The sequence below is a fragment of the Homo sapiens genome, chromosome 2 (assembly GCF_000001405.40).
Source record: "Homo sapiens chromosome 2, GRCh38.p14 Primary Assembly".
Lineage (NCBI taxonomy): Eukaryota > Metazoa > Chordata > Mammalia > Primates > Hominidae > Homo > Homo sapiens.
The window spans coordinates 48,784,179-48,812,093 of NC_000002.12; the positions used below are offsets into that span (position 1 = coordinate 48,784,179).

The following is a 27,915-nucleotide window of genomic DNA, read 5'->3' on the forward strand; positions in this document are numbered from 1 at the left end:
CGTTTTCTTCTGGTAGCTTTACAATTGTAGTTCCTATATTTAGGTTTATTTTGAGTTAGCTTTTGTGGATGGTATGAGGTAGGAGTCCAATTTTTTATCCAGTTGTCTTAGCACCATGTCTTGAAAGACCATCTTTCCCCCAGTGAATTGTCTTGGCATGCATGTCTAAAATCATTTGTTCATAAATATGTTTGGTTATTTCTAGACTCTCAGTTTTATTCCATTGACCCATACGCCTGTCCTTATGTCAGTACTACACTATCTTGATTTTAAAATTATTTTACCATTAACGGTGTTGGATATTGTCAAATACTTTTTCTGCATCTATTGAGATGATCATTTGGTTTTATACTTTATCATATTAATATGGTGTATTACATCGATTGACTTTGGTATGTTAAACCAACTTTGGGACTCCTTTCTTGCTTTCAAGCCTTTAGGATTTGCTAAGCCCATGAAAAGTTGAAAAAGCCTGGTTGCTGTCTTCTGCTGCTTTTTGAGGTTTTGATTTTGAATTAGGCCTAGCCTAAAGGTAAGAATGTGTAAATATCTTGCCAAACTTAATCCTGAGATTTACTCCCAGAAGGAACTGGGATCTGACAACTATGTATTCTTTAGGGGCAACAAAATGAATGGTCATCTTGTCCAAGGGATCAGGAGTAGAGGTAGCAGAGCTAGATCTGGTATATAGTGAAAGGTGTTGGAGCTGGGAAATTATAAATGGTCTGAACATGGTTGGGAGTCACAGGTGTGTAAAGCTGTGCCTTGGGCAGGGGCCAGAGTGGAGGGAAGAATGGGCAGAATGGAACAGGAGACACTTGATAAAGTCAGAAAAAGAAAATCTGGAACCATATTGTTTTAGAGCTTTTATACCACTCACCTGGGATTGATTGTCTCTGTTAGGCTTTTAATATATTGTCGCCCCAGTCTCTTCTGTAGGGTGACACTGGACTTGTCTCAATATCTGCTCCCAGCAACTGTGGCTTTATCAGTCTGTGCATATTCCCTACATCTGTCTTTGGCTACTGGGTTGGTTTGTGGCTCAGTCAATGACTGGGAAGTTAGAGGCTCCTTCCTCCAAGGCCCCAGACTATTGATGATCAGACCCCTCTAGGTCCCAGGAGTTGGTCCTTTTACCTGATGCTCAACATGACTGTGGGTGGATTTAAAATGGCATCCACTTTCTTGGCTTAATTTTGTCTCAGATTCATCTTGGCCTGGGTCATTTACTTTCTGAAGGATGTACAGCTGGGGGTCTTGCAAAATAATGTGAGTATTTCATGGGTGAGTTGGCAGTCCAGTGACTGAGACTACCAACTTTGGAAACCAAGAGACAGGAACCCTGCCATTTTCTATTTAACCTCCTCTACATCTCAGTTTCCTTATCTGCAAAATGGACATCCTATGAGTATCTACCTCACAGATTTTATTCAAGATGTACATGGAGTTCAAAAACAGTGCCTGGCCTGTGAGTGTTCAATAGCAGCTGTTGCTATAACTAATGATGGTGGTGGTACAAGTGATCTGGCCCCTCACTCTCCCCTGATGATTATCTGACATAAGCCCAGTTTACTTTGGAGAGTAGAGTGAATGGCTTTCTGGCATGCACATAAAAGTGGGAAAACAAGAAAAGAATGGAAAAATTTGTTGACAAGTTTGTGTGGCTGTGCATAGAAAATAAGCTTGCATTTGCATTTGATTTAGTTTCTCCAGTCAAGAAAATGCTAATGAGTATAAATAAATGGTGGTGCTTAATCCTGTAACTTAAGAGGGAAAAGAAGTCATTAACAAGTTTATTATTATTATTAATACTTACAGTAATCAGGCTCATTTGTAGAGGCTGATTAAAAGTAAATGTCCACATGAAAAAATACTGGATTTAAATTAATGAAAGCCAGAGCCCCAAATATTTAAGATAATCATTTGTGGTACCAAAATAAGATTAAAGTGATTAAGTTATTGGCAATATTTAAACAGGAACATGTGTATGTTTTATCTTTGTCCCTCTAAATAAGAATGGGGAGTAGGGATTTCCAAGTCTGATTCCTCAATAAACACTTTTCAGTTTTGTTACTCAGATATTAGTAGTTTCATTCAACAACTTTTGTCCCTTCTCTGATGGTCCCATGGATTTTTACACATTCTAGCAAGACCTTATAGAAATGTTTCAAATGAAGACTCCTTTGAAGTAGCTTATCATGAGTCATTCTTTGTTAGCTTATAGTTATACTGAAATTAAGCACTTAATATCAACTTATACAAGACATGGCAGGTCCTGGCAGGTCATGAGGGCTCTTGGAAGAAGTATATTGTCTAATTTTTTGCCATTCTGCCATTTAGTCACCTGCTAAGACATCAAACCTCTTAGTGATGGCATACCCTGTTTTAAGACATATATATTTTCCAAAAAAGGAAATGTTTTCAAGTTAAATCTTACTTTAAATGGTATAGGGTAATTCTTCCCTTAACTTCATTGTCTGGTGAATCTTTTGGAAAGAGCTGCGAAGGGTTCCTATTTCTTATGCCGTCAGTGTTCCTTTTCCTGCCTCTTCCCTTTCTGCCTGGGAAGGTGCTCAGGTGATTGCAGCATCCTAACATCCCTCCCTTGACAAAGGGGTTCTCTTTTTTCCTTCCCTCATACTGCCAGACCTCTCAAAAGAGTAGCTTGTTCCTGCTGCTTTCATTCCATCTTACTTCATAGCAAAGACTTGGAACCAATCCAAATGTCCATCAATGATAGACCGGATTAAGAAAATGTGGCACATATACACTTCATTTACTCTTTATTCTTTAACTCCTCACCAAATGTGCTCTTGAAGAGATCAATGAAGTCCTCTGCTCAAGCCACTTCTCTTTGGTCATTTTGTCCTGCTCACTACCCATTTCCTTCTTGAAATACTTTGTTCTTTTGGACTGAATACTGCCCTCTCCTGTGATCCTCATGTGAGAGGTGCCCTCCCTATACATGGAGGAAAGAAGCACACTTATCCCTGAAGACAACACAGGGATGCTAAGAGAAATCTGATAAAACAAACCTCTCTGTTTCCTCCAGTTTATTACACTTAGCTCATACTCCCTTTGTCTTATTTCATTTCTTCACAGCTTTCCACTCTTCATCAAACTTAGTATAAAAACACTCAGTTTTGACCTCTTCTTCAGGTCTTCATTTTCTAATAAAAGCTCCTGTGTCACATAGACCTATGATAAATAAATTAGTATATTTTTCTTTTGTTAATCTGTCTTTTGTTACAAGGGCTCTGGGCAATGAACCTACAATGGGCAGAAGGAAAAAATCATTTTCCTCCTCTACAAAGGAAAAAAGCAGAATATGAGGTTGAAAATGTAGATTGGGCCCAGATCCTCCAGATATGCCCAGATATACCTGTACCACAGTGGAAAGAGCAGATTAAGCTCCTTCCAGCGTGCCTACATAAAACGGTGCTGATAAAAATCCTACCTCTACTGCTGATACAAACATTAGACGAGGTAATACACACAAAGCAGCTAGCATAGTGTCTGGCACATGAAAAGTGTTCAATGAACGTTTGTGGTAAACTCTGAATAGAGTGCGTTAAAACGAGGACAGTCACGTGATCACGACTATGCCTCCAAAGTACTTAATTGATGGCAGTGGAGGCAGGAGGCAGTAAGACTAGATGCTACAGGAGACTGTGGTGAGGGGCCTGGGTAAAGAAAGTAATGCAAGAGAGACAATGAGTAAGACTTGGCACTGGGTTGGAAATAAGGACAAAGGAGAAGGGGTCAAAGGTGACAATAAGGTTTCAAGTTTGGTGACTGGCAAGAAGATAGTATCATTAGCAAACATAGAGAACACGTGACTTCAGTGTTGGTTGTACCAAATCTGAGATTGTCCTGGAAACTTTAAGAAGAGATATCTTGCATGCAGTTAGAAAATCAATCTAGCGCTTGTGAAAGAATTCTGGACTATAAATAAAGATGTGAAATGAAACCACTCTCTCTTCACACATGTTCTATGTTCTCCTGCTTTGTACTTTTGTTGGTTCTGTTTCCCCACTTAGAATGCCCTTCCTTCCTTTCTCTACATATATAAAATCTGGCCATCCTTCTGGGCAATCTATTTTAGGAAGCGTTCCTTAACCCTCACTATTTAAAAGCTGTCTCTTTTTCTTCCAAATGGTCATAGGGCTTTATCTCTGCTCTTCTTAGCAGACATAATTATCTACTTGCATTAAAAATACCAGGATTCTACGCATATATATTCTCCCCTGCTAGGCTGTAAGCCCATGGAGAACAGAGTTCCATATTTTCCATCTTGATATCATCCTGCAATAGTGGGCACACTGCCTTGCATGTAGTAGGAATTCAGTAACTATTTGTAGTATGAATGAATGAATGAGGAAATGGCATGAACTAAGTAGGAGACTGAGTTGTAGGGCAGTCTTCCAAATTTATTAAGTCACCAAAATTTATCTTTGGATATCTAGGTGCTCCTTGCTGGGCCCATTATCCTTTTTCACAATGTTTCCTTGCCATTCTTTACTTTAAGCACCTAGGACCCTCCTACTCTCCCCATTTCTACCAACTTTGTGACCCAAGGCAAGTCACATAAACTCTCTCAGCCTCATCTCCCCAGATGTAAAATAAGCATGATGTCAATATGTCCTGGGTTGGTGTGAGGATTAAACATATGAATCCTACATAAGTAGTTGTGTAACGTGTCTAGAAAGCACTAAGCATGTAGTCCACATTCAGTGATTGTTGTTTATTTCCTCTCAATTTTTTCCCCTAAAAAAGTTGCATTCACAAAAAGGTTTAAAGACTAATAAAGATGCTTAATGAGTTACCATTCTTTGGAGTATTTGCATTTTAGTTTAGTTAATTAGCTCATTCATTTCTTTATTCCATATTAATGGGTTTTTTTGTGGGCCTCTGTGTATTTCAGAGACTGTGTTAGCTTTAACAATTAAAAATTAAATAGCGAAATATTTGGTGTCAGATGTTACTTAAATTTTACCTAGTAGTTTGAATCCAAGCACACAGACCTAGAAGGATATTTGAGTTGTTTTAGTAGTACGTTATACCTCACAGTATTAGGGTATCTTTCCTTTTTGAAAATTTCACTATTGATGGAATTCCTAACTTGAGAACTTTATTATCTCTGAAGGCAAGGATAGAAGGAGAAGAAAGTAATGCAAGAGAGACAATGACTAAGACGTGGCACTGGGTTGGAAATAAGTGGCAGCACACTAAACACCATAGTCTTTCCAAATGTTGCTGTTTTGTCTTAACAGGGCTCTGTTTTTGTAATGAAACTATTTGACGGAGGTACATTTGGCATACTTCTCTAAGGATCCTGGACCTCATGATAAAATGATTCTGAATATCCTGTGCTGAGAGGCACTGTGAGCAGCCAGTGATTTCCTTGGTACTGCTTTAGCCATAACAGAGATAGGCCTATATGCAGAGCTAGGGGAATTCAGGAGACAAGACATCGAAGGACTGGGGTTGCAGGAGGGTGTTGGTGATTAGAGCAGGGACGCAGCCCTTTTGGATTCCTTAGCACTTTTTATACATCCAAAGGGCTAAAACATTCTCCCAATGTCTGTATAAAAAATTATGGCATAATTTCTACTCACATTACAGGTGGGGAACTGAGAAGCATAGAGAGATTCAAGGCATGTTTTATCTGACTCCACCGTACCTGTTCCTTTTTATCTTCAGTCCCTTAGTATCACCGACTGTAGCCATCACACCACCTTTTTTGTTATTCCCTAATTGTACCATGTTTCTCTCCCAGCTTTCCTGTAGAAGAGGGAGGTATACTGATCCCAATTTACAGATGAGAAGACTGCAGCTCAGAGAGCTTAAGCAACTTGGACTAGCTCACCTGGTTTGTCATGGCAAGTCTGGGACAGAATTTCGGCCTACTGACTGCTAATCCATTTCACTTAACCTCCCTCCTTTCAGACCTTAGGAAAGCAGAGGTCCTAGGAGGACCCCTCAGTGCATATTGAATCTCTGCACCAACGACAGCAGACACAGCAGATGGAAGAAGGAAGGATGCACTACCTATAAGGCTCTACTTATTCCTTGCCCAAGGATTCTCCTCTTGGCAACTTAACCACTTTCTAGAGTCAGCATTTAGTGATGGTTGTAAAAACACAAGCAATTTAGCACACAACACTCTGAACTGTAAACTTGGTAAATAGGATCGGGGGAAGATTTAAGTGGAAAGGACAAGTGCTATAAAGACTTAACAGGAATTCGTTAGGCTTCACAGATAAAGCAGATAAAAGATCCATAACCACAGGCAGGAAGTGAAACGAAAATCCTAAATCGTTAAGATGCAATGAGGTCCCGCCACAATTCATTAATCAGATCATCCTCAGGGGCACTGGCTCAAGAATTCAAAGGAACCCAGAGCAGGAAGGCTTCGATGGCCGCCATTTTAGATGAGAGCAAGGTCTTCCTGGCAGGCGTGGATGTGTCGTCATCTCAATACTACCATTTCTCCTTTGACCAATTCTTTCTGTTTCTATATGGCAGTATTATTTGCTGTCTTGCTGTCATTTATACTTTGCTCCTTTTCTTTCTCCTCTCTGCTTCTCCACTTTCCTCTCTTAAAAAAAATCCTGTTCTTTTTCTTCTCCACCTTACTCTGCGTTTACCATCTCTCTCTCACCTTCTCTCCACATATTTCAATTTCCCACCCTCGTCAGACTCTCCTTGGACCTGCTTTCCTCTCTTCTTCACCCTCATTTCCTACTGCCTCGCATATTCTCCCTGTAGGATGCAGCACTTTCTCCGGCCTGCTGTGTGCAAGCTGTGTGTGGGGGCGAATTCACTCAACACTCTTCTTTGTCTTTCTCACATTTCTTTTAGCATTTTTGTATGACTGAGAGAAGCAGAGGGGTAGAGCATAAAATAACCAGTTAATTTGGTCCTAAATTGTTTTCTTTTATCATTAAATTAGATGTCCTCAGATTTCTTTGTAAAATCCAAACATAAGTAGGCTGAAAACTGTATCACTGTTCCTTTGGAAATTTAAAGGGATGCAGTTGAAGAGAATATTAACTATTATGAAATGTATTTTTCTCCTCACAGATTTTCTGGAAAAAAAATACTGGTATGACTTTTCACTCTCCTATTCTCTGTCCTTCTCCTAGAAGGGATGTAAAATATTTTCAAGAATTGAGCAATACTTTATTGCAATTTTTGTACAGTTTTCAAAGTAATTGCCTGTAAGTGGAAAGGAAGAACTAAAGAACTTAGGAGCAATGCAGTGCCACTTTTAATAAATCAAAAGGGAGGGAGAGTGGGTATTGTTAAGTGACAGAAGGGAAACTGCTCAGAGAACAAACTGTCTATCTCTCTCTCTCTCTCTCTCTGTGTGTGTGTGTGGTTATTGTTGTTTCTGCAGCATCTTGAAGATCCATTCTAGTCTCATGAGTTTTCTACAATTGCTGGCAAGATTGTAGTAGGACGAATATCTGTGCTCCCTTTCATAGTAAAGTTCTGGATGAACCCAGCACACGTTTGGCTGCAGTAAAAAAGCAATTTTTCATACACCAGGGGGCTGCAATTTGAGTATTGTAATGATTAGTGATTTCCTTCAGTTGCAGTTGACCCCCTGCTCATTTTTATATAGTAAATGTAAAAAGGAAAGGGAAAAACTTGACAGTGCTGGTTGATTGAAATTCCAAGAGGAACTTTCATGCAGATAAAACATTGAGAAAAGCCAGGGTGCTGGGAACTTCAGAATGAAAAAAGTGAGAAATAGAGAAAGAAAAAAATATCGTTGAAAGTTCCCTGAAGTCTTTCTGATTGCAAATAAAGTGTATGTACGCTTTAGGCTGTTTGATGTGCTATCTCCATATTTAATGGCTTTTCATCTTCTCTCTAGTATCATGTTCTCTCTTTTCTTACTTCCTTTCCCTTTTATTTTCCCCACCTGCCTATCTTTCTCCTTCTCCTTTCTTTTCTTTTCCTCTTTCCTTTTTCTCCAGAAAAAAGGCTATAAAATGTCTCTCGAAGAGGCAGACTCTATAATGGTGCCTGGTTGTCATGGAAACACACAGATTGCAAGACCTTGAGTCCTGCCACCATGATCTAGGATGAGACCCTCATTGGGTCAGAGGCTAAGGCTGTCCCTAGAATTTCTGGATAAGGGAAACCAGGAAATATAATGTCATTTGAAATATAAGTCGGTGCCCACAGATAAAAGCTAGGAAAAGTGGCATCTAAATAGTTGTTTCTTTGTTTCGCACTCTTCATAATTACATTTGCTGTTAAGAATATAGATGAATGTGGCTGTCAGTGTGACTGAAAAATAAGCATAATTGCAGTATTTTCTTATTCTTTATTTGTAAAATGATATGGTTTATGTCTTTGAGGAAGGGTCGCAGTTTGAAGATATTTTGCCAACTCTCTCATATCAAACCTGGTGCAAAGAATTGCTTTTTCAATAGAATAAGAATGTTTGGTGATTTTATATATGCCATCATCATCTTTCTTCTCCTAAATCAGTAACATCACACTTTGCAAAGTATATCAGATTTTATCGAGATTGTTTCATATAAGCCCAGTATTTCAAGCTAGGTAATATGGTGTCACCTCTGTCTCAGACCAGGTCTCTAGAACACTCAGTTTTCCTTTCTCTTCACAGCTCCATATGGCACCAAAGGTCATATCACTCTTAAAGATTAGGTACTGTTATGGATAGAGGCGAAGGCAATGGGCTAATTAGGTGAGGACTGAGCAAGATTCACTAAGACCTGTGACCTCTTTTTAGTTTGGAAAAAATCTCATTTCTCTTTTGATTTATCTCAGAGACACTCCTCTTTTCTTGTTTCACCTCCTCAGCCCCCATACTGATTCTGCTGTTATTCATTTGCAATGGACTCTGATGACCCCAGAAGCCAAAAGCTCAAAACCGTTCAAAAGCCATCCTTTTCCTATGATGGCCAGAGAGTTTGCTCCTTAAATCATCCTAGAAAATAAGGGAAGTAGTTATAGTCCACTCTTTAGAAAAACAATAACAATGAATGCAGTTAAGTTTCCTCTTAAAACAGATGACCAATATTTTGACCATACAATCTATAAAAAATACTCTTTCCTCCAACTAGTTCAGCAAGCAGATTGAGTGATAAACGCATAAATGGTAAGAGATTGGTGAATGCTCCTGTCAGGTGACATATTTTACTCCATAGGATTTTGTGAGGCATGTCTGATTTTGCAGAGCTCTCAGGAGTGGAAGGCAGTCATTGCTCCAGTCTGTGACAGCTCACCAGGGGCTTACTCAAACAATCTTTAGCACAAGCCAGTGCAGGCAAGCCTCAATTGCCCAGATACTCCTTTAGCAGATGCTTCTCTCTACCAGTTATCCCCCTATCAGCTGTGTCAAACCTCAGCTTTATACTGGTTCTTTTCACTTAGCGCATAAAAAACTCAAGACGTCTCTATTCTTAAAAAAAGAAGAAAAGAAAAAAAGAAAGAGGGAAAAGCAAACAAAGTCCAGTCCTTAACATCATGCCTCTCTTATTAACCACTTACTACCTTTCTTTCCCTTAGTAGCCAAAGTTTTTTGTTTGTTTGTTTTTTCCTGCAGCACTTGTTTATTTTTTATTGAGGTAAAATATACATAAAATAAATTTACCATTTAATCATTTTTAAGTGGATAGTTCAGCGTTGTTGTGTATATTTACATTGTTGTGCAATCATCACCACTATTTTCAGAACTCTTTCATGAAATTCCGGCTGGGTGCCATGGCTCACACCTGTAATCCCAGCACTTTGGGAGGCTGAGACGGGTGGATCATGAGGTCAGGAGTTCGAGACCAGCCTGGCCAGTATGGTAAAACCCCGTCTCTACTACAAAAAAAAAAAAAAAAAAAAAAAGAAAGAAAGAAAAAATTAGGCGGGCGTGGTGCGCGTCTGTAATCCCAGCTACTCAGGAGGCTGAGGCAGGAGAATCGCTTGAACCCGGGAGGCAGAGGTTGCAGTGAGCCTAGATCGTGCCACTGCGCTATAGCCTGGTCCACAGAATAAGACTCTGTTTCAAAAAATAAAAAATAAAATAAAAAAATAATAACTCACCGTTCTCCCTTCCCCACCAGTCCCTGGCAACCACCATTCTACCTTCTATCTCTATGCTTCTGACTAACTCTCACTACTCTAGGTTCCTGATGCAAGTGGTGTAATATGATAGTTATTTTTTTGTGTGTCTGGCTTATTTCACTTAGCATAACATCTTCAGGGTTCATCCATGTTAGAGCATGTGTCAGAATTTCCTTCTTTTTTAAGGTTTAGTAATATTCCATTATATGTGTATATCACATTTTGTTCATCTGTTCATCTGTTGATGGACATTTAGGTTGTTTCCTCCTTTGGCTGGTATGTATAATACTGCTATGAACAGTGCTATATCTGTTTGAGTCTCTGCTTTTAGTTCTTTGGGGTATATATTCAGAAATGGAATTGCTAGTACAGCCAAACATTTTACTTTTGTTTTGCTTTTCAAAGTAATCAAATTTCATAGTTTGAAAGTCAAAAAGTTATAGACAGCTTATAACAAAGAACAGCAGTCACCTGTCCTGCCTCTCTTCACCCAGACCGCTTCTTCAAAGTCACCCACTTTAAACTCTTCAGCTGTTTGTTCTGTTTACCATATTTACAAATTTCATATGGATTTGCTGATTTTCCTACATTGGCCATTATACTCACTTCCCATTATAGAAGATAAAGGCTTACTTCTTACATATCATTATGGTGGAGTCTTTGAAAAAGTGGCTACAACAAATTCTCCCATCCCTGTGTGCATACCGCTTTCCAAAGTGCCTTTGTAGCTCCTCCTGTCAAGAGGTAGGATCTGTTTTTCTACCCATACAATCTAGACTGGCCATATGATTTCCTTTGACCAAGAGAATGTTCTGGCAATGACCCTGTGGGACCTCTAAACCTAGACTTGAAGAACCATTTCACCTCTGCTCTTGGAACACTCCTCTGAGGCTGTCATGTAAACAAACCCGATCTGACTGAAGGGTGATAAGATACTTGAAACACAGACAAGGCATCCTAGCTGAGGCTCTTAGGCCTACCAGTAGACAGCCAGCACCAGTCCCAAAACATGAGTGTGAGGTCATCTGGAGTCCCCCAGATAACAGCCATGGGAGCGAAGAACTGTCTGAGCCCAGTCCAAATTGCTAAGCTACAGATTCATAAGCAGACTTCAGTTGTTTTAACTAAGTTTTGGGATGATTTATTACCCAGAAATAGATTTCTGATGTTATTCATTGCTCATGCATATTTCATCACCTTGTATCTTCCTAATATAATTTTATAATGCATTTGATCACATCTATATTCATTATTTTCATAATTAATAATTGTCAACATAACATTGCTCAATGCTGAGCCCAGAGCTATGTTATGAATGACTCAACTTTTGGTTCTTTTTGTTTTGTTATTAAATTTACTTACCTTTCTTCCAGTCTGTTGCTAAGTCTTCCTATATCCTTCAGTAACTATAAAATTATTCTCAATCCAATCTTCCACACTATAAGCCTATCAGAAAATCTATCACTTTTATTTTCTTCTGGAAACCTGTCTCTCAGAGCCTTTTTCTTTTCTGCTTTAATCTGGACTGGCTGCTCTATAAAATGGCTGCCCAGCTGTAGTCATGGGATTTGCTTTCTTATTATAGTGGGAATTCTATTGACCTCCTTTATCCTGTGCCCACTGTTGTGTGGCTCCCATATGTTCCTCTTTCTTTTTGGCAGTAATTATTTTGTTTTGTAGGAACTTATCCTCTAGAAGTTTCCTGAGAAAGAATGCATAAGAAGTATATTTTTTGAGACCTTGCATGTAAGGAAATAACTCTATTTTCACTCTTGATTCACTGTTTGGCTGGGTATAGAATTGTAAGTTAGGCATTTTTTTCTCAGATTACTTTGAAGACATACCTCACTGTCTTCTAATTTTCAGTGTTGCTGTTGAGAAGTCTGATGCCATTCTTATTTCTAGTTCTTTGTATGTTATTTGTTTTTTCTTCTTAGAATCTTTACTTTATACTCAGGATTCTTAAAATTCATAGTCATGTCATGCTGTGAATTTCTTTTTCATCATTATGTTGGGCCTTTGGACTTCTTAATCTGGAAATTTGTTTCCTTCAAAAATACTCTTATATCTTTTTCTTTGACAATTCCCTCAACCATCCTGTATTTTCTCTACTTATTAAGAATTCCTCGTTTTGGATGTTTGACTGCTTAGATCTCCTAGTTTTTATTGATATGTCTTTTTGATATACCTCCTATGAGATATCCTCAACTTTGTCTTTTAATTCTTTCTTTTTCTTTTATTTGAATGCTAGACCCACGTATTCAACTGTTTGCACACCTGCACGAGGTTGTTTTTCCAGACTTTCCTAATTCAACCTGTCCAGGACTAAATTCATATTTGGCGAAAGTCCTTGTTGTCTGTTATCTGGCTGAATGGAACTACCATCTTTCAAGGAAACCCAGCTATCATTGACACCATTCATACTCATAGCCTAATTGAAGTCCTGTTTATTCTGCTTCTTTAATGGTTCTTTAATATTAATTGCTCTTTAACACCCCTAGCTCTGCCCTAGCTCAGGCCATTGCTGTATCATTCCTGCATTATGACAATGCCCTCTCCACTTATATCTCTGATTCCTGGGTGACTCCAATCTAATAAATTTTTATATTGCAACCAAACCTTGAGATTAAATTCAAGCATCATTTTCCCCACTCTTCACTATGCAGGCTCCTGTTCTACATTTTTTCTTACCTCTATTACACTTTTCTTTTGTTTTTTTAATCTTGAGCATTGTCGTTGTCTATTCCCTTGCTTAGCTTCTACCCTAGACCCTGAATGACTTTAGGGCAGGATAATGGTTGTTAGCAAGTTCACAATAAATATTTATTGCAAAAATCTGTACCCCCTGAGGTAGAGCATTTGATTTTTGGATTACTCTTTCTGTTAGAATATTTTCCCTCATAATGAGCTGGAATTTATTGTCTTAGAATTTCTTCTAATTCATTATAATTGTATTCTGTGACTATAAGCCCCAGATTTTCTAGAACATAATATCTGATTTCAAATACTTACTATTTTATAAGCTATCACAGGGTCATGCTGGAACTTCCAGCTCTCCGTATTCAAACCATATATCCTAGGTTAAGTCTTACACTCAGAAGTGGCACAAAAACTATTTGTGTCTTGATTTTTGGTTTGGAAAGTTGGGGAACTGCACAGTAGAGAACCAATCTAATCCCGCCTGTTTAGCACAGATACTGAAGTCAACAATTATGTTCCTTTTTCCCTAGATTGATTTTTTTTTTCCAGGTGAAAGCTCATAGATTGCTCTTGACTTACCTCTGGATCTCTGTGCTCCTATTTAAAGTGTGTGGTGAGCCCAGGTGATGCTACCTGTGCAGAACAGATCAGACAATCTCCTCCCTGCCTCTGGACACTGACCTGCTTTTAACACAGCCCAAGTTTGCTTTTGCTCTCTAGGTACAACCGTATTATATTTATGACTTTTAGGTTTTTCTTTTTTAATCTATGATATCAGGACATATTTTCTACATTGTACACTTGAGCATTGAGTTTATTCCTGTTAAAATGCATCTGGTTGGGCTTGAACCATCATGTAATGTCACATTTTACACTGGATCCCAATTCTACTACCCAGTGTATTATCCTGCCTTCTCAGACTTGTGACAATAAAATAATGTTAGTTTGAGTTATTGGCCTGTGCCCAGTGTGGCTGGAACTTCGAAGGACATTTGTTAAAATAGAATTCTCCCTCTAAGTTGTTTTCCTCTGATGCTGTTTGGCTTGTGAATACCTGTTTATGTGCTTGAATTTCACCCAGTATTATATTTCACAGTAGGAACTTGGGGTGAGAAAAGTATCTTTTGAGCTAACACATAATTAAGGAATATAGTTCTCTAAGAAATAATTTTCCTCCATAATAGAATGGATGCTGTAGTCCTATTCAAATACCTATTCCAATATTTGTTCATAGTTCTTCTGTCATGTAAGCATTTGCAGGTCCATTTTAGTAATAAGACAACTAGTTATAAATCCTCTATCTCTAATCTGAATATTTCTAAAAAACTATAGACTTCAAAGTTCTCAGGGGCAGGGGCACGGATGCTTTTTACTTCTCTATCAGGTTATCCCTTACCTGCCCTACCCCCGCCCCCCGAAAAAAAAACTTCCCTAGATAAGTAAACATTTTTCTCTCTCCTACGTCTATACCTTCTCATATGCTAGCTTTTCTTTCTGGAATGTCTCTCCCTTCCCCATTTGCTGTGGGCTAAAGTTCCTATTCTTTCTCAAGGCCTAACTTAACTTTCACATCCTTTGAGAAGGCTTTCTTCATATTTAGTCAAGCCTCAATTTTTCTTCACCTTGAATTCTTAAGATATTCATTATGTTAACTATTTTTTCTTGAAACTGACTTGAATGGCTGGGCACTGTGGCTCCACCTCTAATCGCAGCATTTTGGGAGGCTGAGGCAAGAGGATTGCCTGGTTCCAAGAGTTTGAGATACTGACTTAAATGTCACATTGTTTTCCTATTTAAAGGATCTGAATATGCTAGTATTATTTCCTGAGATGGATTATAAACTGAAGGTGGGGACCACTTCTCCTTTTTCTATGACTCCCTACTATTCTTTGAAGAGTTTTAGGTACACTATATTAATATAATTGGATTGAAATTTTGGAAAACTTGAGGAAAGGAAATGCATCTAGGAAAGCAAGGCTGAAGGCTCATTACTTTTCTTTAAAAACAAGCACATGGAAAGAATACGCTCTTTGAAATCTTTAGAGGAATATGTCTCAGAGCTGCTGCAATTTTTCACAAAAGCATTCTAAGTCTAATTTGAACATCTGCTATCACAAGAATTTTACATCCCTTCTGTGGGCTCATGGGAAAGGGCCATGAAGGAGAGGCTATGATGGATGGTCCGGGGAGCCTCACCCTAGCCTTGGCACAGGGCAAGGCTATGAAACTGCACTTTTCAAGAACCAGCAGGGAACATTTGGAATTTCTCCTGTTAACACAAGGGACACATAATTTGATTTTTTATGTTTTGTACTTTTTTTTTTGCCAGAAAAAAGGAGAGTCCTTGGATATTTTTGGAGAGTTTTATCACCTCCAACCATTTGGTTTCAAGGTAACAATACATGCTTGTTTCTTCTACCACCCTCATTCATTTTAACTCATCTGGGAGGTCAATGTGGAAGGATTAGGTTTGACTCTGTTTAAAAAGCCCAGTTTATAGTTAGCCTAAGCAGGTCATTTTTACCTCATAGAGCCCTACTTAAGCAATGGAATCAATCACTTTCTTCATTAGATGTTTGACATTTATTAAAATAATATATTGTGGTATGTATTATAATAGAGCCTACTATCCACTATGAGTGATTTACACCTTTTAAATATGTTTTATATATATATTAGGGCTTTTTTATGTAGTGAAGAATTAAATTTACACAATGAGAGGCCTGACCTTTGTCCCTGCCCCTGGAAGATAATCTCTAACCCTTGGACTTTCCAGAATGATAGGAGTGTCTTTGCTATTCATAGCGGATTCCTCAGACTGCACCTGACCTGATAGTGTATGCCAGTGAGATGACTCGGGGGGAGGCTGTCCATGCTAGAAATGCCAAGCATGTGATTAGAGGGTTTGGGCTTTCAGCCACGTGATATCAGCCTTACCTTTTGGGAGGAGAGGGAGGCTGGAGATTGAGTTCATTCGGGAGGGCGCTGATTTAATCAATCGTGCTTGTATAATGAAACAAACAAACAAACAAAAAAAAAACCCAAATACTCTGGACACTGAAGCTTGGGTGCACTTCCCTGCTTGGGAATACTCTGGGTGAGTTGTCACACATCAATGCTAGGAGGGTAACAAGTCCCTGAGGATAGTGGAAACTTTGTGTTTGGAAATCTCCCAGATCTTACTCTGTGCTTCACTCTTTCTTTGGCTGGCTCTAATTTGTATCCTTTTGCTATAATAAAACTGTGATCCAAAGTGTGATATTTTCCTGAATTCTGTGAGCCATTCTAGGAAATTTTTGAACCTAAGGGTGATTGTGGGAATCCCCAATTTTTTAACCAGCTAGTCTGAAGTGTGGGTGGCCCTGGGGACCTCTGAACTTGCAACCGATGTCTGAAGTGGGAGCAGTCTTGTGGGGACTGTATCCAAAGACTGCCTTTTCTCTAACTCACTGTAGTAGTCTATCAAGAAACAGGAAATAGAAAGAAGAAGAAGACAAAAAATATTTATGTTAAACCATGAAACCCAGATAACTAAAGGTAATTTTTTAACCCTATTTCTCCTACAACAAAGCTGGGAAAAGACTGGAGGTTTTTGTTTGTTTGTTTGTTTTTGTTTTTTCTTTTTTTGTCTGTGTTTCCTCTGTTGAACTTAACGCATAAAACTTTTGAGAAAGCCCCCTTATTTTTCTAGGCAGGGGACATAGCCCACAACCTCTAGGTATTTAGGATCAAAAATGTTGGAATCCTGAATGGCTGAAGGTGGTGGTGATGGTGAAATAATTCCAAATCTCTTCTCAAGGTGGAGCTATTTGGGCATCTCTATTTTTTGCAAATGGAGATGCAATGGGAATCACAGGATCCACCTCGTTAATAAGGTAACTGTAAATAGCCAAGAAGACAGGGAAAGCTACTATTTAAAAGCTAAGTGCAGTGGTGAGGGATGGGGTGGGCCAAAATGCTTCCCTAGGGTTCTCTGTTTTGTCTTCTAACCTCTCAGCCCTTGGAGGACCTCTTTCCTTATTTTTCTTCTTCTCATCTTTGCCTTCTCCAACATTGGCCTTTTGCTATTTGCTCTCTCTTCCCTTCCTATCACCTATGCATTCTGATCATTTGTTGATGCTCTATAATGATCCACCCATTGACAGGGATATTTGCATTTTCTTTTTCGTTTCTTTTTTTTTTTTGAGACGGAGTCCCACTCTGTTGCCCAGCCTGGAGTGCAGTGGCGTGATCTCTGCTCACTGCAACCTCCGACTCCTGGTTTCAAATGATTCTCTTGCCTCAGCCTCTTGAGTAGCTGGGGTTACAGAGACCCACCACCACGGCTGGTTTTTGTTTTTTTTTTTTTTTTGTATTTTTAGTAGAGACAAGTTTTCGCCATGTTGGCCAGGCCAGTCTTGAACTCCTGATCTCAGGTGATCTGCCCGCCTCGGCCTCCCAAAGTGCTGGGATTACAGGTGTGAGCCACTACACCCAGCCGATATTTGCATTTTCACAAGGACAAAAGTCTTAAACCTAAAGATCAAGCATAGAAGGTGAAATTTCCAATCTCATTTGCTGTGAAACTGTAGATTCAGTGGTCTGAGAACAGCTCTGTGGAAGTCTCCTGCCCAGGCTGACTTCCACACCTCACTCATCCTAATGCTGTGTTTCAGTGAGGACCTCAGGCTACAGAGGGGCTGTTATTCTTCCTTGAGCTGGCCTGGAAAAGAAAAATTAATGTTGGTAATACTTTAGAGAGAAGAATATAGGAAATTTGTAAGTGATTCATGAATCATGTTGGCTCTCAGCAGCAGCATTTTGAGGTGATTCTGGAGAGCGTGGCCTTGAGTAAGCCCTTCAGAGAAGGTGGCTTGAGGCCACAGCTAAATAAATCGAAATTGAGTGAAATCAAGCTAAAAACAGTGGAAGCCAGCCTTAGAGGCAGCAGTCCTCCTGTGTAAATACACAGAAAGGCCTGTGTCTTTTCCACAAACAACTGTGGAATCTTGGACAAATCACTGTTCCTTTCTAGACCTGGTTTTCTTTGGCAAGTCAGATGTTCTTTAAAGACCCTGTAAGCTCTAACAGTGTCATGATTTTTAGTCCAGGGATGAGCTTAGGAACAAGAGAGAGAACCATCATAGAATAAAAAATTTACATGAGGTAGGCTACTTTGGAAGCCCAAATATAGTGTTTGTGCCCTGAACATTTTATGTACATACTCTTTGCTTTGGGACAAAAGGAGAAGAGCTATCCATGGATCTGAAATCCAGTGCTTTTTGATGGTGGGGCCAGTGGAGAAAGTAGAAAGTGGGAGTGAATGCAATTGGTGAGGAGAAATGGACAATATGAGCCATTCTTCAGCTTTCCTCCTCATTCTATTGCTGCTGCATAGAGAACCTCACCTGTAAAGAGAAGAATATCTGGAATATTTGTCCTTTATTATTTTATGAATGTTTATTATGACAGCACGTTCTAACCAATAAGTTTATGTCCAGGGATGGTCCTCTGAACTGTGAACAAGGTAGTCTTTATCCATCTTTAAAATTCTCTTATCTCTTCTTGTGATCTCTTTCATCATGCATTCTCAGTGCCACCTTGGAAGGAAATGATACCTTCCTAGTTAATGGCAGCAAACTCTAGCTCTTCTGAAGTTGGCCCTATATGGAGGAGAATCTCCTGTGGGGTAGGGCTTCGGGGATTGGACTGCTCATAGATTTATCTTGTTTTTGCGGTTTGTTTCTTGGATGAGACCAACACAAGTGGCCTCACGAGTACACTGATCCAAGTGAGATACAAGTTTCCTTTCCCTTGATTCTCAGTAGTCCAGCTGAACTAAGACTAGACTTTCTCATGAGTAGGACAGGTAGACCTAAGCCCACAAGCAGGATAGTAGTGTGGTGTTCTTCCATCTGATATGTCTTTGCAAGTGATGTATTTGGGGAGCAGAGAGAAATACTCATGATAGTAGCACTTAGCCTTTCCTTGATGATCCCTGAGTAATTTAACCACTAACCCACATCTTCATACCCAATTCAGAAAATCAAAAGTCCAGTGATTAACCAGTTTTACCATTTTTGGAAGACCTGACCCTCAGGGTCTCTCTCAATCTTTCCCTCCCAAATTATTTTCAATCAGTACGCTTTTTCTTTTAGAGGAGCTTCAGTAAATACAATTTACTCCTTGCTGAATTTCTGGCAGTGTTGTAGCCCCTTCAAGAGGGACATTTCAGGCAGTTGCTCAACTGATTTGGTCTCTCACAAGCTGAGGGTCAAGTAACTACCATACAAAGAACACTATGAAATTTTCTTTATAAATAGATCTTTTTTGAGTGCAGACAGTTCCTACCGTATTCTTCAGGTATCTTTGGGAAGAGACCCAGCCTGGTCTCTCTTTATGGGGAGGACATTATCTTTGTACATACCACCTATGGATATCCACCCAGACATCTAGACTCTGATGTCTAGATCTTTCATTTCTGGTTTCTTCTCGTACATTAGCGTATACCTTTATTACTGAACACTAACAATGACCCTTCATGAGGCCGTATCTAGTTACAGGGGAGGCCTTCATAGAAAAATCAGTCTTCATGGAGTAACCATAACAGAATATAATGTATTATAACCCCAATAGTCGTGACACATTTACAGTAATAAGGAGCATTTTTCTACTCATCCCACTCCCAATGACTGCCTCGAGCAGTCAAGATGCCTTCACTGCTGCTGTTCAAAACCTCTTTATTCCTCTTCCTCCATTTATAGCAGAACCCACTCTTTTTTTCAATAAGCTGACTCTTAGAAAAGAACTGATAAGCTAAATTCCAAGAAGGTGCTCCTGGCTAAAAGTAGCATAATAGATAATTTAACTTTGGAGTAACAATGCTTTAAACCCAAATGAGCCAGGCTCTAAAAATGAAGTTTAGTGATTGTTACAGGCCACTAGGAAGATATTTTGTGTCTGAGAGACTTCCCTGGTTCAACTTAAATCACACACAATTAGTAGAAGCTTATTCCAATTATGCCTGCATGATGCCTGCCTTGTGGCTGGTTGCTTGGGCTATTCTTTAATAGAGTGAGGGAGATTTGGAAGAAGTAGGTTCCTACTAGGAAGTCTCTCATTCCACCATTATTGAGCTGCTTACAGTGCTGTGTGTGTGGTGGTGTGTGTTGGGAGGTGGTAGGTGGTGGTTCACTGCAGAGTGCTGGAAGGTATTACAAACCTTAGGGTAAACATGGCAACCCTTTTTGGAGCATAAATCTCTTCTTGAATATGTGGGGAAAATAAGTGCAGTGAGATTATTTATTGAAACCTTAATTTGTATTTTGGTTGAGGGCGTGGAAGCATCAGAAAGAATGAGAACAATTTTTTTTAAAAATTTTCCTGAATTCTGAGAAGGCCATTGTGTTCTTGTTGCAGTAGCAGCTTGAAGATAATTATCTTTCAGGCTTTCTCAAAACTCTAAACTCTTTGAAATTGTGTAAGGGCATGTGTATGTATATGCAGGGATGGAGAGATGTGAAGAAAAGAGTTGGAACTGACAGAGAAAGGAGATTCTGAGAAGCCTGGGAAGGGATGCAGGGCTATGAGGGGCCCGGATGCCCCTATCCCTGATTGGCAACTGAGAACTGCAGAGGGTAGGCTGGCCTTGAGTGCTGGGCTCTAGCCTCAGCAAAAGTCCCAGTGGTAGAGCAGAGGCTTGGCAGGGAATGTGTGGAGCTTCTTCACCCGCTAACTCCAAGGGCCATGCACAGCTGGGCAATGAGCCTAGTAGTGGTAACCAGTACAAACCAAGGACTGAAGGCCCTTCCTCAAATACCCTGTCCCAAATACCCTGAGACTTTGATAGTACTCTGGGAGATATAGATGTGCATATAGAGTTACAGGATTGAATAAGATAATTTCTTGCCAATCTGGCATAGAGAGGAGGGGGCCTACATTAGATTTAGTTTTGCAGAAAAAAAATCTAATGTTTGTGGAAAACTTGGTGTATTGGTTATTTATTGCTGTGTACCCCAAAATTTGGTGTCTTAAAATACCAAACCCTGTAATCCCAGGACTTTGGGAGGCTGAGGTGGGTGGATTGCTCGAGCTCAGGAGTTCAAGACCAGCCTGGGCTACATGGTGAAACCTCGTCTCCACCAGAAAAAAAAAAAAAAAAAAAAAATCAGCCAGGGGTGGTGACATGTGCCTGTAGTCCCAGCTGCTAGGGAGGCTGAGGTGGGAGGATCACTTGAGCCTGGAAGGCGGAGATTGCAGTGAGCTGATATTGCCCCACTGCATTGCAACCTGGCCGACAGAGTAAAATCCTGTCACAAAACAAAACAAAACTGAATGTTTAGTTAGATGTCGCTGGCTCATGGTTTCTCATAAGATTGCAATCAATGTGTCAGCTGGGACTGAAGTCATCTCAAAGTTTGACTGGGGGAAGATCTGTTTCCAAGCTCAGTCATGTATCAGGCCTCAAGTCTTCTCTGGATATTGACTGGAGACCTCATTTCCTTGCTCTGTGGACCTCTCCACAGAGCTATTACTCACAACATAGCAACTTGATTACCTTAGAGAAAAGGCTGAGAGAGGGAGAGAGACAGAGACAGACAGACAGACAGACAGACAGAGACAGAGGGAGAAGAGAGGGGGATAGACTGGGGAAAAGAAAAGGCAAGGTGTGGGGAGAGAGAAAGAGAGACTAATACAGGGGCATAGTCTTTTTGTAACCTAATCTCGAAAATGGCATTCCATGGCTCTGCCACAGTCTATTAATTAGAAGTAAGTTGGTAGGTACAGGTCATATACAAAGACAGGAAATTGTACAAGGGCATGAATACCAGTCTGTAAGGTGAATACCACCATACAGACTGCCCACTACACCTGAGTTTGAGAGGGCAATTTTGTTTCCTCTATTCATAAGCAAACATAATTATGTTATGGCATAGAATATGAGATTCTGGGGTTGTTAATTCATGGACTCCTAGTACGAAGCATTTTGGAAGCTTTGTATTCATATGGTTCCTATGCTTAAGGAATTGGCCCAAGTAGGGCTTCCACTCAAAGGACACTGGTTGCTATTTGGGGGCTGTGAAAAGACGGTAGGTAAGTGAGAAGGAAAAGAAAACATGTTTTGCAAAATACTTTGTTTTGCTGAATACAATGCAAGAGAAAAAGGAGGAATAAGGCACGGCCTTGCTCTCAGATGTGACATGGGTAAGTTGGAATCTAGAAGACAGAATAGAAAATAGTGCTGGATTGAATTTAAGCCAATGATCACAATAAATGTTCATACCAAATAGTGATAGATGGGTGAGGCAGGGAGAATGTCAGAGGGCCCCACTTAGTATTAAGAAAAGATTTTGAAGAAAAGGTGAAATGTGACCTGCATTGGAAATTTGGGGATGGAGGTGGGGGCAAACAATGTGGGCAGAGGTTTAGAAAGAGGAAGAATGATGTCTTTGGAAACTGACTTAGTTGGAGGGCAGGTTTATATGGAGTCTGGGTCCTGGATTTTTCATCATTGTTTGTTCCTCATCTTCAGTGTGTGTTTTTGGGGCATCTCCTGCCTGCATAGCTCTGTCCTTGGTGGTGGTGGAGAGCCTGAGAGCCCAGGATGACTCTGGAGAACATGGCCCTTCTTTAGGGAGCTTCCTGGTGGGCTCAAGATTTCTTAATGCCATATCTGATGTCACATTGCTCACCGCTGTGATTCCAGGATGGAAAACTGAATAAGAAGCATTTTTTCTTTCTCTGGAAGGGATAGCCTTTGGGGGCAGAGGGGAAATTAGCTAGAAAAAAACCAAATAGGCTTCTCTGAAAAAACAAGGTTTAATCAAGGATCTTGAGAAAATAACCAGCTGTTTTATGAGCAATTTGACTATTCTTTTGAAAAGAGTTAATGTACCACAAGGAACACAATTATTTTTAGAGCCCTAAGGAAGCAGGGATTTGTTTGAAGCTCCAGATTAAAGGTGGATCCAAGGTTCTATGAGGTGACGGGCAAAGAGACCAAAGAAAAAGTTTTCTGAACTTTGAATTTGTGTAACTTGTAAGGAAGAGGGGCTGTTTTATTTTTTTCCATTTTATTTCCTAGATCGCTTGTCAGAGCTTAGATGTCGCACTTTGGGGATTTAATGAGTTGACATTTTCACAGGCTAACCTGGTAATTAATTTCTGCTCATCATGGGGCCAGTGTCAGCTCATTCTTCCTTTCTGATCCAGAGCCAGGAGTGTGAGGTCTGAGTCCTGTTTGTCTGACTTTCTCAGGAGCTGGCACTGGGCAGCAATGGGTGCCCATAGGCTGGACCCCTTTTGGGGTCAAGGCAGTGGTTGGTTGAGAGATGAGTCTTGCAGAACAAGATGGGCCCCAGAAAATTTAGGGAGTTGAAATCTTATGTCTCTGTTCACACAAACAAACACAGTTACTTTGTCTTTTCCTCTCCTTACAGTAAAGAGTTGGTTAAGTCATGGAATCATTTTAAAAAGAATCCAGTAAATATACATTAATATTTATCTACATACTATTTGCTTAATCACTCACTTACTTACTTAAAATATTTAGTTTAATTTTAATCTGAGTTTTTAGGGGAACTCCTGTCAGTTGATGTTGAGCCAAGACTGCTCTCTAAGGATGTATTGCTAATCGTAATTTTGTGTTGTCTTTCTTGTATAAACATCTCCCCTAAATGCATCATCTCTGATTTCTAATTTTAGGGTTTTAAAACATGGAGTGAAAGTTATACACACTTGCAAGGTAAAATCTTAATATTTTATAATTATAGTTGTCTCATTCACATCTGACTCACTGATAACTTTTATTAGCATGGTGTGATGGATATTTTTCAATGTATTCTGCTTAATTTTTAAAATAGAAACATTCTTCCTTTTCACACTCATTTTATTAATATACACAATATTTTATTGAATTAGATATTTACATCAACACATGAAACTGACAAAACACATTTGGGAACAATTTACTCTTGGAAAGAATATAACTAAATTGGTGGGATGCAAGGATATATTATTATTTATTACTTGTTAGCTTTGAGCTCAGAGTGCTGTATGTTTTAAAGGGAATGAAGGATATCAGCTCATCTAGAATAGGGGTTAGCAAACTTTTTCCATAAAGGACCACGTAGTACATGTTTTAGGCTTTGCAAGACTCTACAGTTTCTATGGCCAACTACTCAACTCTTCCATCATAGCACAAAAGCAGCCCTAGACAATGTGTAAATGAATGAGTGTAGTTATATCCCAATAAAACTTTGTTTCCAAAAACAGGCAGCAGATGGGATTTGGCCTGAGGGCCATAGTTTGCCAACTCCTGATCTAGAGTACTAGTTAAGCTGAAGTAGATTAAGAGAGTTGCTATTCCTCTTGATTCACTCTACCAAATGTTTGTTAAATGTAAATTGCATGCTTACCTGTTCATATCTGTGATAGACAGGGTAATAATGTGGCTTATTCTTCCTAGCTATAATGTGATGCATGCCTTTGTGTTCATTCTTCTGTGGCTTGATGTCCTTTCCATGCCCTTTTCATCTCCTGGCACATTTCTGCCTATCTTTCAAAACAGCTCAAAAATTACCTCCTCAGGGAAGCCTCCCCTGTCTGCTGGGCCAACTTCAATGGCCCTTCTCTGGGTTGTTGCAATTGTCATCCCCTGCAATCCTCCAACCTAGTGCTTGTCATGCCGTATTGTAAAAAATGGGCTTTGTGTCTCTCTCCTTCAAACCTGTGACCTTTTTGAAGGCATGAACTGAGACTCAGTCATGTCCATATACCTTTGTACATAGCAAGCATTCAATAAATGTTTGTTGAATAAATGACAGAATCAATGTGGCAAAGCATGACATAAACAGACTATATGAATAGCCATTGCTATTATTTGTGTGTATGTATTTTGACTTTGTAACTTTTTTCTTTTATTTATTCACTAAGAAGATGGAGGGAGTGTGGCAGCAGATCTTGACAAGTTTTCCCATAAAAACAAATTTACTTATTTGTTATTTATATACATTTTAAAATTTATAGACATTAAAACATAAAAGTAATATGTGTATATAGCTTTAAGGTCAAATTGTGCTACAAGATTTGTGAGGCAGGCACTTGTTTGGCTATTTGCAGCCATTCTCAACCCCTGTCTCTGTTGCTTGCTTTCTACTGCAGAGGATGAAAGTCCAGATTCTCCCATCACCAGCCTCTCTCATAGGCAGAGGTGGCCATGTGACCCAGTTTCGGCTAACGAGATGTAAGGTGGACTCTACTCAGGGTCTTCCAGGAAAGATATTTTCCTTTCTAATTGTGGTGAAGACTGCCAGGTATCTGTTATTTTGTTCTTCCCTTTTTTTTTTTTTTTTTAGAACTTTTAAGTTTTAGCTGTGCATATGGCTACTAGGAATAAATACTGCATTTTCCAGTGTCTTTTCTAGCTAGTTGTGGCTTTGTGACTAAATCCTGGCCAGTAGGATATAAGCAAAAGTGTTTTGTGGCAGCTTTCAGGAAATTTCGTCAAAAGAAAGCTCTCATGTGTCCTTTTTATTCCTCATTCCTCCATCCTGCTGGCTGTAATGTTGACATGATGGCTGGAGCTGCTGTAACCTTCTGGAACTATGAAGTCACCTTGAGAAAGGAAGCTGTGACTAGTAGAATGACAAGAGAGATGGAGGCTTGTTTTCTGAAGGGATCACAGAGTAAGTAAACCTCATACCAATCCTGGACAACCTACCTCCTCTAGAGTGGCGAGAACAAGATTTTGCCTTGCTCTAGACATTCTAATTTTGGGTCCCTATCACTCATTATCAAAACTAATCCTAACTGATTCACTAATGAGAGGGAAGAGTTACATGAAGACAACTTTCTTGCTCAGTCACGGGCAATCTGTCTCCCATGATCTGCCTGTGAACACAATGTTTGCATCTGTGGCAGCCACCTTGCAGCCCTGAGTGAACAAGGTTGAAAAGCAACACACTGAGGATGGTGGAGCAGAAAGCTGGAAAGCAATGAGTCCTCAGTGATGTCACTGAGCTTCCAAGCCCATCTATTTCTGTACATTTTTTGAAAAAGTAAACAACAAGTATCCTCACATAGTAAGCCACCGTTAGTCCAGTTCCCTGCTACTGGTATCTTAATTAACTTGGTTTACACAAATCAGTAGTTCCTTGTCTCATGCCTGCTCATCCTGATTCTGTCTCTGGTAGGGAACCACTTTCAACTCTTAGCTGCTTTTCTTTGCTGTTTAGCTAACTAGGTAAAATAAAAGGATGATGATTTTGCTCTCTTAAATAACTCCTTTTATACACTTCCTTAATGTCTTAATGTCTCTCCTTCTGTCTCTCAATATAGCGAAGCCACTATTTTTGTTCATCTTGACTTTGTCAATATTATTTACAGCTGAGACATAGTGTTCTACAACTTCATTTTTTTCTTTTGCAACTTTTCCTTGGAATCATTAATTGACTTCCTGTATCATTTGCTTAGTTTTCTATGTATCTATCAATAATTCATTCCCATATATTTCACTAAAGCTGTAAAACTCGTTTTACTCCATTTAAACACATGAAGTAATCAAATAGTTCCTTTATTCCTGTAGGAGACATCTCCCTGGGAGCCTCTAGTCAACTACTCCAAATGTGGACGAGCTGCTATCTCAGTTTGCTGCCCAGTTATCATCTTAAGATTCTTTTGACCTCTTTCCTGTGTTGGAGTCCCTATTCTTGATCCTCATGTCTCCTTCTTTCCTGGTTTTCTCAGTTGTTTGGTTGGAACACATTTGGCTGAAGCTTTCTAAAAAAGAATACATGGGCAATTTTCTATTTTTTTAAAAAAAGATTGAGCATGTCTAGAAATATCTTTATCTGACCTTCTTACTTGATTCATGATTTGGCTGGCATAGAATTCTTGGCTGGAGAGTATTTTCCCTCAGAATTTTGTAGGCATCTTCTTTTAGCTTCTGCTGCTTTTAAGAAATAGGATGCTATTCTTACCTGCTTTTTTTGTTTGTCTGGAAGCTTTAAGCATCTTCTCTAATCTCCATTGTTCTGGAATTTCATGGGGATGGTTTGTGCCTTTTTTTTGTTTATTTTACAGGATATTTACTAGGCCATTTCAATCTGGAGACTCATGTATTTTAGTTCCAGAAAGTTCTTTGTATTACTTCTTTGATTGTTTTCTTTCCTCTGACCTTCTGTACTGATTTCTAGAACTTATGTAAATCTGATATTGGATTTGATCTTCTGGATTGACTCTATTTTCTCTTTTATCTTCTACCTATGCCTTTTTGTTCTAATTTTAGAAATATTTCTTCAACCTTATCTTCTAATGTAGTAAATTGTATTAGTCCATTTTCATGCTGTTGATGAAGACATACCCAAGACTGGGTAATTTATAAAGAAAAAGAGGTTTAATGGACCCACAGTACCCCATGGCTGGGGAGGCCTTACAATCATGGCAGAAGGTGAAAGGACATCTTATATGGCAGCAGACAAGAAAGAATGAGAACCAAGTGAAAGGAGAATCACCTTATTGAACCATCAGATCTTGTGAGACTTATTTGTTACCATGAGAACAGTATGGGGGAAATCGCCCCCATGATTCGATTATCTTCCACATGGTCCCTTCCACAACATGTGGGAGTTATGGGAGCTACAATTCAAGATGAGATTTGGGTGGAGACACAGCCAAACCATATCATTCTGCCCCTGGCCCCTCCCAAACCTCTTGTTCTCACATTTCAAAACCAATCACACTTTTCCAACAGTACCCCAAAGTCTTAACTCATTTCAGCATTAACTCAAAAGTCCACAGTCCAAAGTATCATCTGAGACAAGACAGCTCCCTTTTGCCTATCAGCCTGTAAAATCAAAAGCAAGTTAGTTACTTCCTAGATACAATGGGGGTACAGCCATTGGGTAAATATAGCAATTCTGAATGGGAGAAATTGACCAAAACAAATGGGCTACAGGCCCCATGCAAGTCCAAAATCCAGCAGGGCAATCAAATCTTAAAGCTCCCAAATGATCTCCTTTGACTCCATGTCTCACATCAAGGTCACACTGATGCAAGAGGTAGGTTCCCATGGTCTTGGGGAGCTCCTGGCCCTGTGGGTTTGTAGGGTACAGCCCTCCTCCTGGCTGCTTACATGGG

At 39.5% G+C, this 27,915-nt stretch overlaps 1 long non-coding RNA gene across 3 annotated transcripts in view; it reads left to right on the top strand.

Annotated features, from left to right (window-relative positions):
* The window catches only part of LOC105374594 (uncharacterized), a 33,971-nt gene extending 6,814 nt beyond the window's left edge, over nucleotides 1–27,157 (top strand). The window contains exons 1-5 of one of the 3 annotated variants that reach the window (XR_001739459.1): nucleotides 15,128–15,190; nucleotides 16,598–16,673; nucleotides 23,482–23,521; nucleotides 24,940–25,091; nucleotides 25,389–27,157. This is a non-coding gene — a long non-coding RNA (uncharacterized LOC105374594). Of the gene's footprint in view, nucleotides 1–15,126; nucleotides 15,191–16,597; nucleotides 16,674–23,481; nucleotides 23,522–24,939; nucleotides 25,092–25,388 lie in introns of those variants that run through there. The other 2 variants (XR_001739458.1, XR_001739460.2) reach the window with 2 other exon arrangements.
* The last annotated feature ends 758 nt before the right edge of the window (nucleotides 27,158–27,915 follow it).